The sequence below is a fragment of the Homo sapiens genome, chromosome 17 (assembly GCF_000001405.40).
Source record: "Homo sapiens chromosome 17, GRCh38.p14 Primary Assembly".
Lineage (NCBI taxonomy): Eukaryota > Metazoa > Chordata > Mammalia > Primates > Hominidae > Homo > Homo sapiens.
Genome location: NC_000017.11, coordinates 28,862,618 through 28,876,736, shown reverse-complemented (window position 1 = coordinate 28,876,736; position 14,119 = coordinate 28,862,618). Strand labels below are relative to the sequence as shown.

The 14,119-nt window shown below is 49.0% G+C and overlaps 2 annotated features.

The window, feature by feature from the left end:
* Window positions 5,101-5,170: an enhancer, noted in NCBI's record as "active region_11954". NCBI's record gives its function as "activates an Ori minimal core promoter by ATAC-STARR-seq in GM12878 lymphoblastoid cells {active_cell/tissue: GM12878}" and the evidence as "EXISTENCE:reporter gene assay evidence [ECO:0000049][PMID:35858748]".
* Window positions 10,608-11,664: a transcriptional cis regulatory region, noted in NCBI's record as "candidate enhancer chr17.1493 targeted for multiplex CRISPR interference". NCBI's record gives its function as "positively regulates DHRS13 and FLOT2 gene expression in K562 cells {active_cell/tissue: K562}" and the evidence as "EXISTENCE:mutant phenotype evidence [ECO:0000015][PMID:30612741]".

Sequence of the window (14,119 nt, the reverse complement as noted above, 5' to 3'; positions counted from 1 at the left end):
GAATGGCCAATAGATGTATGAAATCTGTGTGACAGATTGTATTTTCCACAGATAGTGGCAACAATATCTTCCATCCTACATGTTCCTCTTACAGTGTCACTTTGACCATCCTTACAATTAGAGGTAGAGCCTATTCTTCCTTCCCTTGAAACTGGTGGGACTTTTGTGGCTATTCAGGCCAATAAAGAGTATTGCAGAAGTGACATTATGTGACTTCTGAGTTTAGATCACAAACGATGACAAAGCCTGTGCTTTATTTGCTGGAATACTCTCTCTTTAAGCCTTTAGCCACCATGTAAGCAGTATGACTGTTCTGAGGGCACTGTACTGTAAGGAAGCCCAAACAGAGGGACCACAGGGTTGGGCCCTGGCTACATGAAGAGAAAGAGATAGACACCTGCAGCTGCTCCAGCCACCATCTGGCTGCATGTGCAGGAGAGACCCCAAGCCATTTCTGCCCAGCCAACCTCCTAAAATCCAGACTCCTGAAACTGTGTGAGATAGTAAATGGACTGCTCATTGTTTAAGCTTCTAAGTTGGAGGTTGATTTGTTACATAGTAAAGAATGGCAGGAATAGCATGCATAACTTCATTAGTCATCAGGGAAATGCAAATTAAAACCAAAATGAGATTATCACTTCACACCTACCAGAATGACTGAAATGAAAAAAAAAGTTACAATATCAAGCATGGGTGAGGAGGAAGAGCAATTGGAACATTCATACACTGCTGGTAGAAATATATGTCAATACAACCACTTTGGAAACCTGTTTGACAGAATCTACTACAGCTGAACAAAAGCATACCCTTTGACCCAACCATCTCACTCCAACAGCAATATACATACATATGGGTACAAGAATACTCACAGCAGCATTATGAATAATGGCCCCCAAATTCAAACAACTCAAATGTTCATCAATGGTAGAATGAAAAATGTGTATCATATTCATGAAATTGAATACTATGCAGTAATAAAAACAAATGAACTACTGCTACATGCAAATACTTGAATAAATCTTGCAAACGTAATGTTGAGTGAAAGAAGCCAGACATGGGCTGGGTGCGGTGGTTCACACCTGTAATCCCAGCACTTTGAGAGGATGAGGTGGGCAGATTGCAGATTGCTTGAGTGTGTGGCAAAACCCTGTCTCCACAAAAGATACAAAAAAAAAAAATTAACTGGGCATGGTGGTTTGCACCTATAGTCCCAGCTACTCGGGAGGCTGGGGTGGGAGGATTGCTTCAGCCCGGGACGTTGAGTTGAGGCTGCAGTGAGTCAAGATTGCACCATTGCACTCCAGCCTGGGAGACACAGTGAGACCCTGTCCCAAAAATAATAATAGACGGGTATGGTGGCTCACGCCTGTAATCCCAGCACTTTGGGAGGCTGAGGCGGGTGGACTGCCTGAGGTCAGGAGTTCGAGACCAGCCAGGCCAACATATAGTGAAACCCCGTCTCTACTAAAAATACAAAAATTACCTGGGCGTGGTGGCGCACATCTGTAGTCCCAGCTACTTGGGAAACTGAGGCAGGAGAATTGCTTGAACCCGGGAGGCAAAGGTTGCAGTGAGCTGAGATCACACCATTGCACTCCAGCCTGGGCAACAGAGCGAGACTCCATCTCAAAAAATAATAATAATAATAATATAGATTGTATCATTCCATATAAAGTCCAAAAAGCAGGCAAAGCTAATCTATGACATTAGATCAGCTAAAGGTCACCTTTGGGGAAGAAGAGACAGAAATAGAGGGCACAGGAGCCCCCTGAGAATGTCCTGTTTCTTGACCTGGATGGTGATTACATGGGTGTGTTCACTTTGTGATAATTCACTTATGAGTCATGCACTTTTTGAATATATGTTCTACTTCAGCAAAAAGTTAATTAAGAAAATAAATTGCGGGCAAGCCGCTAGGTCCCCTTCCACACTGTGGAAGCTTTGTTCTTTCACTCTGCAATAAATCTTGCTGCTGCTCACTCTTTGGGTCCGCACTGCCTTTATGAGCTGTAACAATCACTGCGAAGGTCTGCAGCTTCACTCCTGAGGCCAGCAAGACCACGAACCCACCGGGAGGAATGAACAACTCCGGACGGGAGGAACCAATAACTCCAGACGTGCCGCCCTAAGAGCTGTAACACTTACTGCGAAGGTCTGCAGCTTCACTCTTGAAGCCAGCCAGACCATGAACCCACCAGAAGGAAGAAACTCCGAACACGTCCAAACATCAGAAGGAACAAACTCCGGACACACCATCTTTAAGAACTGTAACACTCACTGCGAGGGTCTGCAGCTTCATTCTTGAAGTCAATGAGACCAAGAACCCACCAATTCTGGACACACCATGTTCATGCCACTGCATTTTGCCCTGGGTGACTGCATTTTGCCCTGGGTGACAGAGCAAGACCCTGTCTCAAAAAACAAAACAAAAAAAATTGTGATTAATACATAGAAAATAGGGAATTGAGTGGTTGCTTTTAAATTGGAAGTATAACTTACATAGCGAAAGGGGTACAAATCTTGTGAATTTTACATATAATAAAATTTCATAAATGCATATACCTTTCTAACCAGCGTGAAGATCAAAATCTGGAACATGTCCAAAAAAAGAAAATAAATTGCCTCCAAGATCTTCGTCCCATCTGGAAGAACGGAAGAACGGAGTTGTTATTTACTGAAATGGGAAAAACATTTGAGGGAGCAGACTTTTTTTTTTTCAAGATAGAGAGATAGTCTCTCTCTGTCGCCTAGGCTGGAATGCAGTGGCACCATCACGACTTACTGCAGCTTTGACTTCCCTAAGCTCAAGTGAACCTCCTACCTCAGCCTCCTGAGTAGCTGGGACTACAGACATGCACCACCATACCTGGCTAATTTTTGTTTGTTTGTTTGTTTTTTGAGATGGAGTCCCGCTCTGCTGGGCTGGAGTGCAGTGGCACTATCTCGGCTCACTGCAACCTCCACCTCCCAGGTTCAAGCGATTCTTCTGCCTCAGCCTCCCAAGTAGCTGAGACTACAATTGCATACCACCGCCTGGCTAATTTTTGTATTTTTAGTAGAGATGGGGTTTCACCATGTTGCCCAGGCTGGTCTCGAACTCCTGAGGCTCAAGCAATCCACCTGCCTCAGCCTCCCAAAGTGCTGGGATTACAGGCATGAGCCACCATGCCTGGCCCACTACTGGTCTTTTCACTGCTTCCTGTTGACCTTCAGGAAAAGGAGGCCTGAGTGGCTGCAATGAGACCCAACTAGGAGATGGTCCAGGTTGGCCTTAGTGTCAGGGACACTGACTTCAGCAAGAAGATGAGAGGGGCCTTGCTGAAAGAGATCTGAAGGGTGCTGGAGAGGAGGAAGGGGCAATGATGTGGGGGTAGGGAGTGAGGAGGGGATGCCTCAGCACCTGTACTAATGCCAGTGGACCCCTGGAATGGAGAAAGCCAGGCCTCTGTCCCCAGAGCCTGGAACCAGCCTCAGGAAGAGAGAGTGGAGAGTATAGAGCATTCTGCCTGAGCCTTCAGAGGCCTGCTAAGGCCCTGTTTACCATGAACTTCCATGAACCCAGGAAGGAAAGGGCTTAGTATATAGAATGGGCACCTGGAGTGTGCAGGTGATGCTGTTTCCTACCCTGTTGTGCTCATGACCCCACCAGCCTTAGGAATTCGATATAGAGGGTACCAGGCCTGCCCATCTTCCCTGCTGTGCCCAGTCCCTAGGCCTGAAGGCCCAGCACAGAGGGGGTTAAGGGCTCAGGAACGCTTGCCTCTGGGTGGGTGGGAACTGTCAGCAAGGAGCCTTGTCTGTCTTGATAATCCAGGCTGCCTATCTTTTCCACAGCAGCTGTGAAGCAAACAGGTTGTCCTGGCAGGGAGGGAGGAATGTAAAGGCCTGGCTGATGGCGGGAAGGATTTGAGGCAGTAGGGACACTCAGGCTCCACTCAACAGCCACCTTTAGAACTGTACCTGGCTGGGCGCAGTGGCTCACGCCTGTAATCCCAGCACTTTGGGAGGCCGAGGCAGGCGGATCACGAGGTCAGGAGATCAAGACCATCCTGGCTAACACGGTGAAACCCCATCTCTACTAAAAATACAAAAATTAGCCGGGCGTGGTGTCGGGCACCTGTAGTTCCAGCTACTCGGGAGGCTGAGGCAGGAGAATGGTGTGAACCTGGGAAGTGGAGCTTGCAGTGAGCCGAGATCACACCACTACACTCCAGCCTGGGGGACAAAGCCAGACTCCGTCTCAAAAAAAAAAAAAAAAGAAAGAAAAAAAAAAGAAAGAACTGTACCAGGAGACTGGAAAGGTCATGGCCCAAGTCTGGACTTGAGAGTCCCCACTGACCCAGAGAATAGGAACTGGAAGCTGATGAATAGAGTTAGGGAGGTGTTGAGAGGAAAATTTCCATTTCTGACTCAGTATGTGTCTCAACAGGGGTGCAAGGGGGACACTATCACGTGTACGTGCACGGGTATGAGTGAGCACGAGCGCCCACAGGTGTATGCCCCGTTGGAGAGAGTAAACAGGGAAAGCCCACTGCAAAGCCAGGAAGGAAGGAGCTTGGCATCTGTTGAGCTCCTGTTGTTCATGTGCCAGGCTCTAGGTTAGAACTATCCACCTTCACTGTCTCATTTCATCTTCACCAGCATGGAAAAGAAAGCATTTGAACCCCTTTTTTTTGAGACAGAATCTTGCTCTGTCGCCCAGGCTGGAGTGCAGTGGCACGATCTCGGCTCACTGCAACCTCCGCCTCCCCGGTTTCAAGCAATTCTCCTGCCTCAGCCTCCTCAGTAGCTGGGATTACAGGCCTGTGCCAACAAGCCCAGCTAATTTTTGTATTTTTAGTAGAGATGGAGTTTCACCATGTTGGTCAGGCTGGTCTCGAACTCCTGACCTCGTGATCTGCCCGCCTCAAGCTCCCAAAGTGCTGGGATTATAGGTGTGAACCACCGCGCTCGGCCTTTTTTTTTTTTTTTTTTGAAACAGAGTCTCACTCTGTCACCCAGCCTGGAGTGTAATGGCACTATCTCGGCTCACTGCAACTTCTGCCTCCTAGGTTCAAGAGATTCTCCTCCCTCAGCCTCTCGAGTAGCTGGGATTACAGGCGCCTACCACCACGCGTGGCTAATTTTTGTATTTTTAGTAGAGACAGGGTTTCGCCATGTCGTCCAGGCTGGTCTCAAACTCCTGACCTCAAGGGATCCGCCCACCACGGCCTTCAAACTGCTGGGATTACAGGCATGAGCCACTGAACCTGGCCTGAACCCCATTTTACTGTTGAGGAAGCCAAGACTCTAAGATCAGGTGCAGGGGCCAGAATCACTCAGCGGTAGTGTGGTGGAGCCCGGACTCTGACAAGTCAGTCAGAAGCTGTGCTTATTTCCTGCTAGCTCTCAGTACTCCTAGACAGGAAGCAAGAACCCTAATGTACAACCCCTGAACTGTGAAGGCGAAAGCTCTGGTTCAAGCCAAACATGGGCCTGTGATTTCAGGACAAGTGAGCTTCATGAGAAGGCTTGGCTCATAAACTGCAGGAGGTCAGAGAAAGGAGAGGGGATTGTTGCTGGATTGCAGCTGCCCAAGAGCAGTGTGTGGAAGAGGCTAAACAAGGGATTAGATGACTAGGCATGGTGGCTCATGCCTGTAATCCCAGAACTTTTAAGGGCTGAGGTGGGAGGTTTGCTTGAGGCCAGGAGTTTGAGATCAGGCTGGGTTGCACAGTGAGAACCCCCATCTCTATTTTTTTTTTTTGGTCACTGTTGTCAGCCTGGGTTGGAGTGCAGTGGCGTGATCTCGGCTCACTGCAACCTCCGCCTCCCAGGTTCCAGCAATTCTCCTGTCTCAGCCTCCCGAGTAGCTGAGATTACAGGCGCCTGCCACCATGCCCAGCTAATTTTTCTATTTTTGGTAGAGACACGGTTTCACCACGTTGGCCAAGCTGGTCTTGAACTCCTGACCTCAAGTGATTTGCCTGCTTCGGCCTCCCAAAGTGCTAGGATTATAGGCGTATGCCACTGTGCCTGGCCTCTATCTCTATTTAAAAAAAAAAATTTTTTTTTCTGAGATGGAGTTTTGCTCTCGTTGCCCAGGCTAGAGTGCAGTGGTCCAGCCTTGGCTCACTGCAACCTCCACCTTCTGGTTTGAAGAGATTCTCCTGCCTCAGCCTCCCAAGTAGCTGGGATTACAGGTGCCCACCACCATGCCCAGCTAATTTTTTTGTATTTTTAGTAGAGACGGGGTTTCACCGCATTGGTCAGGATAGTCTCGAACTGCTGACCTCGTGATCCACCCACCTTGGCCTCCCAAAGTACTGGGATTACAGGCCTGAGCCACTGCGCCTGGCCCTAAAAAAATTTTTTTAAGACAGGGTCTCACTCTGTCACCCAGGCTGAAGTGCAGTGGTGCGATCACGGCTCACTGCAGCTTCAACCTCCCAGGCTCAAGCGATCCTCCCACCTTAGCCTTCTGAGTAGCTGGAACTACAGGTACATGCCACCACACCAGGCTAATTTTTGTATTTTATGTAGAGATGGATTTTGTCATGTTGCCTAGGCTGGTCTCCAACTCCTGGCCTCAAGCAATCCACTCGCCTCAGCCTCCCAAAGAGCTGGGATTATAGGCATGAACCACCACACCAGGCTTCTACAAAAATTTTGTTTTAAAATTACCTGGAGCCGGGCGCGGTGGCTGACGCCCGTAATCCCAGCACTTTGGGAGGCCGAAGTGGGCAGATCATGAGGTCAAGAGATAGAGATCATCCTGCCCAACATGGTAAAACCCCATCTCTACTAAAAACACAAAAATTAGGGCCGGGAACAGTGGCTCACGCCTGTAATCCCAGCACTTTGGGAGGCCGAGGTGGGTGGATCACCTGAAGTCGAGAGCTCAAGACCAGCCTGACCAACATGGAGAAACCCCGACTGTACTAAAAATACAAAATTAGCTGGGCGTGGTGGCACGTGCGGATAATCCCAGCTACTCTGGAGGCTGAGGCAGGAGAATCACTTGGACATGGGAGGAGGAGGTTGTGGTGAGCCAAGATCGTGCCACTGCACTCCAGCCTGGGTGACAAGAGCGAAACTCCGTCTCAAAAAAAAATAATAAATACAAATACAAAAATTAGCTGGGTGTGGTGGCACACGCCTATAGTTACAGCTACTTGGGAGGCTGAGGCAGGAGAATAGCTTGAACCCAGGACACAGAGGTTGCAGTGAGCCCAAATCACGCCACTGCACTCCAGCCTGGCTACAGAGCGAGACTCGGTCTTAAAATATATATATATATTACCTGTACCTGGAGCCAGGCCAGGCGTGGTGGCTCATGCCTGTAATCCCAGCACTTTGGGAGGCCAAGGCGGGTGTATCACGAGGTCTGGAGTTCAAGACCAGCCTGGACAAGATGGTGAAACCCCATCTCTACTAAAAATACAAAAATTAGCCAGGCGTGGTGGCGGACACCTGTAATCCCAGCTGCTCAGGAGGCTGAGACAGAGAATTGCTTGAACCCGGAAGATGGAGGTTGCAGTGAGCCGAGATTGCACCACTGCACTCCAGCCTGTGGAACAGAGCAAGACACCCTCTCAAAAAAAAAAAAAAAAAAATACGTGGAGCCGGGTGCTCACGTACAGGCTCATGCCTGTAATCCCAGTACTTTGGGAGGCCAAGGTAGGCAGATCACTGGAGGTCAGAAATTTGAGACCAGCCTGGCCAACATGGTGAAACCCCGTTTCTACTAAAAATACAAAAAATAATTAGCCAGGAGTGGTGCATGCCTGTAATCCCAGCTACTCGGGAGCTGAGGCAGGAGAATCTCTTGAACCCAGAGGCAGAGGCTGCATTAAGCCAAGACTGTGCCACTGCATTTCAGCCTGGGCGACAGAGCGAGAAAACAAATTTTTTCCTGGGTGTGGTGGTATGGGCCTGCAGTCCCAGCTACTTGGGGGACTGAGGCAGGAGGATTCCTTGAGTCCAGGAATTCAAGGTTGCAACGTGCTGTGATTGTACCACTGCACTCCAGTCTCTGGAAAAAAAAAAAAAAAAGAGGTCCGATAGATGAGTGGAGTCTGCCTGCATAAGTAGAAACACAGAAGGAATCCTTGCATCATTCAGGGGCTTTCTTACACGATTTCACTGAATCTTGTTTGTTTGTTTGCTGTTGTTTTGAGATGGAGTTTCACTCTGTCGCCCTGGCTGGAGTACAGCGACGCAATCTCAGCTCAATGCAGCCTCCGCCTCCCAGGTTCAAGTGATTCTCCTGCCTCAGCCTCTTGAGTAGCTGGGATTACAGGTGCCTGCCAGCACACCCAGCGACCTTTTTTTGTATTTTTAGTAGAGGCAGGGTTTTGCCACGTTGAACAGGCTGGTCTCCAACTCCTAACTTCAAGTGATCCACCCACCTTGGCCTCCCAAAGTACTAAGATTACAAGTGTGAGCCACCGTGCCCAGCTAGATTTTACTGAATCTTCTGAAGGATCTTGTGAGGCAGGTATTATTCTCATCCCTATAATAGATAAGGAGGCTCAGAATCACATTACTGGTAACTGGCAGAACTTAGGTTTGATTCCATTGAAACTCAAAAAGGCCTCACAAAGACACAAAATCTACCCTATTCCTAGCGGGTTTGTGCATAGAGCCAGGGTGTGGGGTCTGGAGAACAGGGCTGTAGTTCTGCTCACTATAAGACTCGGGCCAAGCACTTCCTCCCTGAACCTTAGTTTCTCTATCGTGAAAATGGCATGCAGGTGTCTTTTGGAGATGGATGGACATCGGCAAAGCCCCCAGGAAAGCCATTCCTAGGACCCCACTCCCTGGAAGGGCTCCAGGGGCATCTGGGTACAGTGCTCAACATGCACACTTCCTCATGGGGCTGAACGGCATAAAGAGTATAAGGGAACATATGCTTGAGCATCTGTTCCATGTAAGGCGTTCTCTGAACACCTCCCAGGATAAATCCCGGGTGCTGGGCCAGGGAGATGGTTCAGACAAGGTGCCCATTCATGGAATGGTTGGGGACAAACAAGGGAATTTGCCACACTGTGATGAGGACAACAGTAAGAGCAGGTCCCAAGCCTGGACCTCGAGAGGGAAGTGTCAGGGAGAGTGAAGAGAAGCTTCACAGACCAGTCAGGATGAAGTGGAGCAGGCCTCTCTGACAAACTCCTAAATCTCAAGCCCCATTGACCTCATGGAGGGTAAGGATTAGAATGGTTTTCCAGGCTGGGCGCAGTGGCTCACATCTGTAATCTCAGCACTTTGGAAGGCTGATGCGGGAGGAATGCTTACTCAGTTACTCTTGAGAGGCTGAGGTAGGGGGATCCCTTGAGCGCAGAAGTGAGTTATGACCACAACACCGCACCACTGCACTCCAGCCTGGGCAATAGAATGAGACCCTATCATTTTTAAAAGAAAAAAAAAACAAAAAAAAAAAACAGTGGCCGGGCAGGCGGATCACCTGAGGTAGGGGGTTCAAGACCATCCTGACCAACATGGTGAAACCCCGTCTCTACTAAAAATACAAAAATTAGCTGGGCATGGTGGTGGGCGCCTGTAGTCCCAGCTACTCGGGAGGCTGAGGCCAGAGAATCCCTTGAACCCGGGAGGCAGAGGTTGCAGTGAGCTGAGATTGTGCCACTGCACTCCAGCCTGGCAACAGAGCGAGACTCAGTCTCAAAAAACAAACAAAACAAAACAAAACGAAAAACCAGTTTTCCAGCTTCTCAAAATTTCTCAAAGTCCTTTGTTCCTGAATGAGTTTTGCTACTGTCTGTGCTATGAGACATTGAATGAGAAAACACTGAATAACTGTTTGAATAACCATATTATTTGGCCTCCTTTTATCCTTGTATAAAATTGCTAATGTCATGAGACATAGTAAAGCAACCAAGAGGAAAATAAGAGTAATTCTACCCGCTGAATTTATTATTTATTTTTTAGAAACAGGGTCTCACTCAGCCAGCCTCCCATGCTGGAGTTCAGTGCTGCTGCAATCATAGTTCACTGCAGCCTCAGTCTCCCGGGGTCAAGCAATGTTCTCACCCCAGCCTCCCAAGTAGCTAGGAATACAGGCATGTGCCACCACAGCTGACTAATTTTTTTTTTTTTTTTTTTTGAGATGGAGTTTTGCTCTTGTTGCCCAGGCTGGAGTACAATAGGATGATCTCAGCTCACTGCTGCCTCTGCCTCCCGGGTTCAAATGACTCTCCTGCCTCAGCCTCCTGAGTAGTTTGGATTACAGGCATGCACCATCACGCCCGGCTAATTTTGTATTTTTAGTAGAGATAGGGTTTCTCCATGTTGGTCAGGCTGGTCTCAAACTCCCGACCTCAGGTGATCCGCCCGGCTGGACCTCCCAAAGTGCTGGGATTACAGGTGTGAGTCACCGCGCTTGGCCCACAGGTGGCTAATTTTTAAATGTTTCTGGAGAGATGAGGTCTTGCTATGTTGCTGTGGCCAGTCTGAACTCCTGGGTTCAAGCGACCCTCCTGCCTCAGCCTCCTAAAGTGCTGGGATTACAGGCATGAGTCACTGTGCCCGGCCTGAATTTCTTTTTTTAATGTGTATGCTGTGTATCTCTATGTGTTGTATGTCTGCGTACATGTGGGCAGTGCACATGTGTGCATTTGTATGTGTGTGTTTTGCATATTATGTGTATCTGTCTGTGAGTGTCTATGGCTGCTTCCTGTTCCTCTGAGTCATGCATTGTTCTCCGATGCTGAGAGGTGGAGGGAACCCTTAAGCTTTGGACAATTCTCTCCTCCTCTCTGCCTTCAGTTTCTCTCCTATATAAATGGGAGACTTGAACTCCATGATTTTGAAGGACCTGTACAGATCTGACCATCCTTAACTTCATCACCATACACTTTAGGACTTCTTCCAAAAAAGACCTAAAGAACAGTCAAGAGCTTAAAGCTGCAGTGGCAGGGGTTGAAGTTAGAAGGACGAAGTCCCCAGACTTGCCTCACTGGCCTCAGAAAAGCCATGGAGCTCCTGGTTTGAAGCAAAAGCTGTCAGAATTTAAAAGTCAGGCCCAAGGCCCTAGCTGGTGTCCTCCCACCCCTGTACTGGCCAGAGAGTCTCCATGTGCCTTGCAGAGAGGCAGAGGGATTCACATTCCAACTCCCTGTGGGGTACTGGGGAGGCAGAGGAATGGAAGAACAAATATCCAGGAAAACAGCCCTGGGCGGGAAGCGCCTCAGCCCTGCTTTGGCCCGTGTTGGCTCCTGATAAACAGAAGGCTGCTGGGCCCCCACCCTGATAGCCCAATGTCTGCTTATCAGGGCCCCCTGACTATCCCTCCCAGGCCCAGACTCTCCTCCAACCCACACCCTACTCACAGCAATCCCCACCCCTGGCCAGAGGCCACAGCCACAGGATCTCTGGCTGGCTGAGATAATCTCTCCCCTTTCCCTTTAGGACGCCTAGGTTCTGCCCATGCTCACCTTTGGACTTGGCCCCCAGGCACTAGGCAGAAGTCTAGGAAGTAAGTGGCATGAAGCTTGCCCTAGTACACGAAGCCCTGCCTTTGTTGAAGGAGCTTGAGCTGTCTGTGGGGTTTCTGAGTAGAGGTGGCCTCGCAGGAGGGACACAGGACAGGAAAGGGGGTCAGGGGAAGCAGGAGCAGACATAACGACAATGCCTCACCTGGTTAGAGCAGCTGGATTTCAGAAGCTTTGTCGCTCATCTTTTTTTTTTTTTTAAACGGAGTCTCATTCTGTCACCCAGCGTAGATGGCAGTGGTGCAGTCTTGGCTCACAGCAACCTCTGCCTCCTGGGTTTAAGCAATTCTTGTGCCTCAGCCTCCCGAGTAGTTGGGATTACTGGTGCTGCCACCACGCCCGGCTAATTTTTTGTATTTTTAGTAGAGATGGGGTTTCTCCATGTTGGCCAGGCTGGTCTCAAACTCCTGACCTCGAATTATCCACCCACCTCAGCCTCCCAAAGTGCTGGGATTACAGGCGTGAGCCACCGCACCTGGCCCTCACTCATCTTTCTATATTTCTTTTTCTTTTTTTTTTTTTTTTTTTGAGGTAGAGTCTCACTCTTGTCACCCAGGCTGAAGTGCAGTGGTGCAAACATGGCTCATTGCAGCCTCGACTTTCCAGGCTAAAGTGATCCTCTCACCACAGCCCACCAAGTAGTTGGGACTATATAGGCACATGCCACCACAACTGGCTAATTTGTTTTCTTTTTTTTTTTTTTTTCGTACTTTTAGTAGAGATGGGGTCTCACTATGTTACCCAGGCTGGTCTTGAACTCCTGGGCTTAAGTGATCTGCCCCCCTCAACCTCCCAAAGTTCTGGGATTACAATCGTGAGCCACCATGCCTGGGCTCTCACTCATATTTCTGACTTGACTCTTACAACTTGGCAAGATGTGTATAACCACCAAAGCTCAGAGAAGTGCAATTTGTCCCCAGTCACACAGTTTGTGAGACAGAAGAAAGAAGTAAAGAAGGAAACTGACATTTGTTTCATATGTGCTAGGACCTGATCTGGGAGCTTGAGATGAGTGCTCGTATCACCCTCTTCATCACTGTATAAGGTTGGTATTGACAGCTGCCATTTTAAATTTGAGGAAACTGTGAGTGGGAACACTTGGTCCAAAGTCACAGAGCTGGATGCAGCACAGCTGAGACTGTCACTTGGGACCTGTCACCTCTAGACCTGGGTTCTTGCAATGGTCCCAGGTGGCTTTCAATAATATTCCATGGGCTTTCAGATGTTCAAGGACAGGCCTTGTGGGGGTCCCTGAGGGAATGGGGTGAGGTGGGAATGAACTTGTTTGAACCCCTTCTGTTGACCGGCACCAGCAGCTGATCCCCTAGATCTGGCAACTCTGTGAACTGGGGACTATTGTTATTCCTATTTACAAATAAGAACAGGGAGGGTCCCAGAGAGAAAATGGCTTGCCTGAGAGAGCCACAGCTTTGTCCATCTGCCTCCTCAGGCCAAGGTCTCTCTCCTCCCCCATATTACATTAGGCTCAGCTTGATGTAGGCTGGAACATTTATTTAGTTGTTAATTATGTGATAGAAGTACATCAGTGAGCTGGGCGCAGTGGCTCACGCCTGTAATCCCAGCACTTTGGGAGGCTGAGGCGGGCGGATCGCCTGAGCTCAAGAGTTCGACACCAGCCTGGGCAACACGGTGAAAGCCTGTCTCTACTAAAAATACAAAAAATTAGCTGGGCGTGGCAGCGAGTACCTGTAGTCCCAGCTACTCAGGAGGCTGAGGCAGGAGAATCGCTTGAACCCAGGAGGCGGAGGTTGCAGTGAGCTGAGATTATGCTACTGTACTCCAGCCTGGGCGACAGAGCAAGACTCTCGCTAAAAAAAAACAAAAAACAAAAACAAAAACACAGAAATATATTAGTGAATAAACAAGGCCCTCATGACTATTTACTTAATGTGAATAATCACACAAATAAATAAGTCCCTATCAGGGAGACTTAAATAGTCTGGGAAGACTTCCCTGCAGAAGTAACACTTAGAGATGTGAAGAGGGAGGCTGGTGCGGTGGCTCACGCCTGTAATCCCAGCACTCTGGGAGCCCATGTGGGCGGATCACTTGAGCCCAGGAGTTTGAGAGCAGCCTAGACAACATGGCGAAACCCCATCTCCACTAAAAATACAAAAATTAGCCAGGTGTGGTGGTGTACGCCTGTAGTCCCAGCTACTTGGGAGGCTGAGGTGGGAGGATCACCTGAGCCCAGGGAGTCTGCAGTGAGCCATGATGACACAACTGCACTCCAACCTGGGTGACAGAGTTAAATTGTCTCAAAAAAAAGGAAGGAAAAAAAAAGAGCTCTGAAGAGGGGCTAGGAGCTAACTAGACAAGAAAGGAGGGAAGACCATGCTAAGCAGAGGGTAGAGCATGTGCCAGCGTGCTGTGACCTCAGGAAATAGAACACCTCCACAGGACCCAGAAAAGGTTGGGTCTCTTCTCCCACTTCCATCCTGGTCTAGTCTACCCCCGCAGAGGAAGAGTATTAACTGCCTTCCAGCACACAGACCAGATTGTCTAGGATAGGGAAGAGGGAAGGGCGTGTCCCCCAGAATGGGGATTCTAAACAGCAGAGGCCTTGCTTTGAGGAGCCTCTCCTCTACCCCAGAGGCAAAGAACCAAAC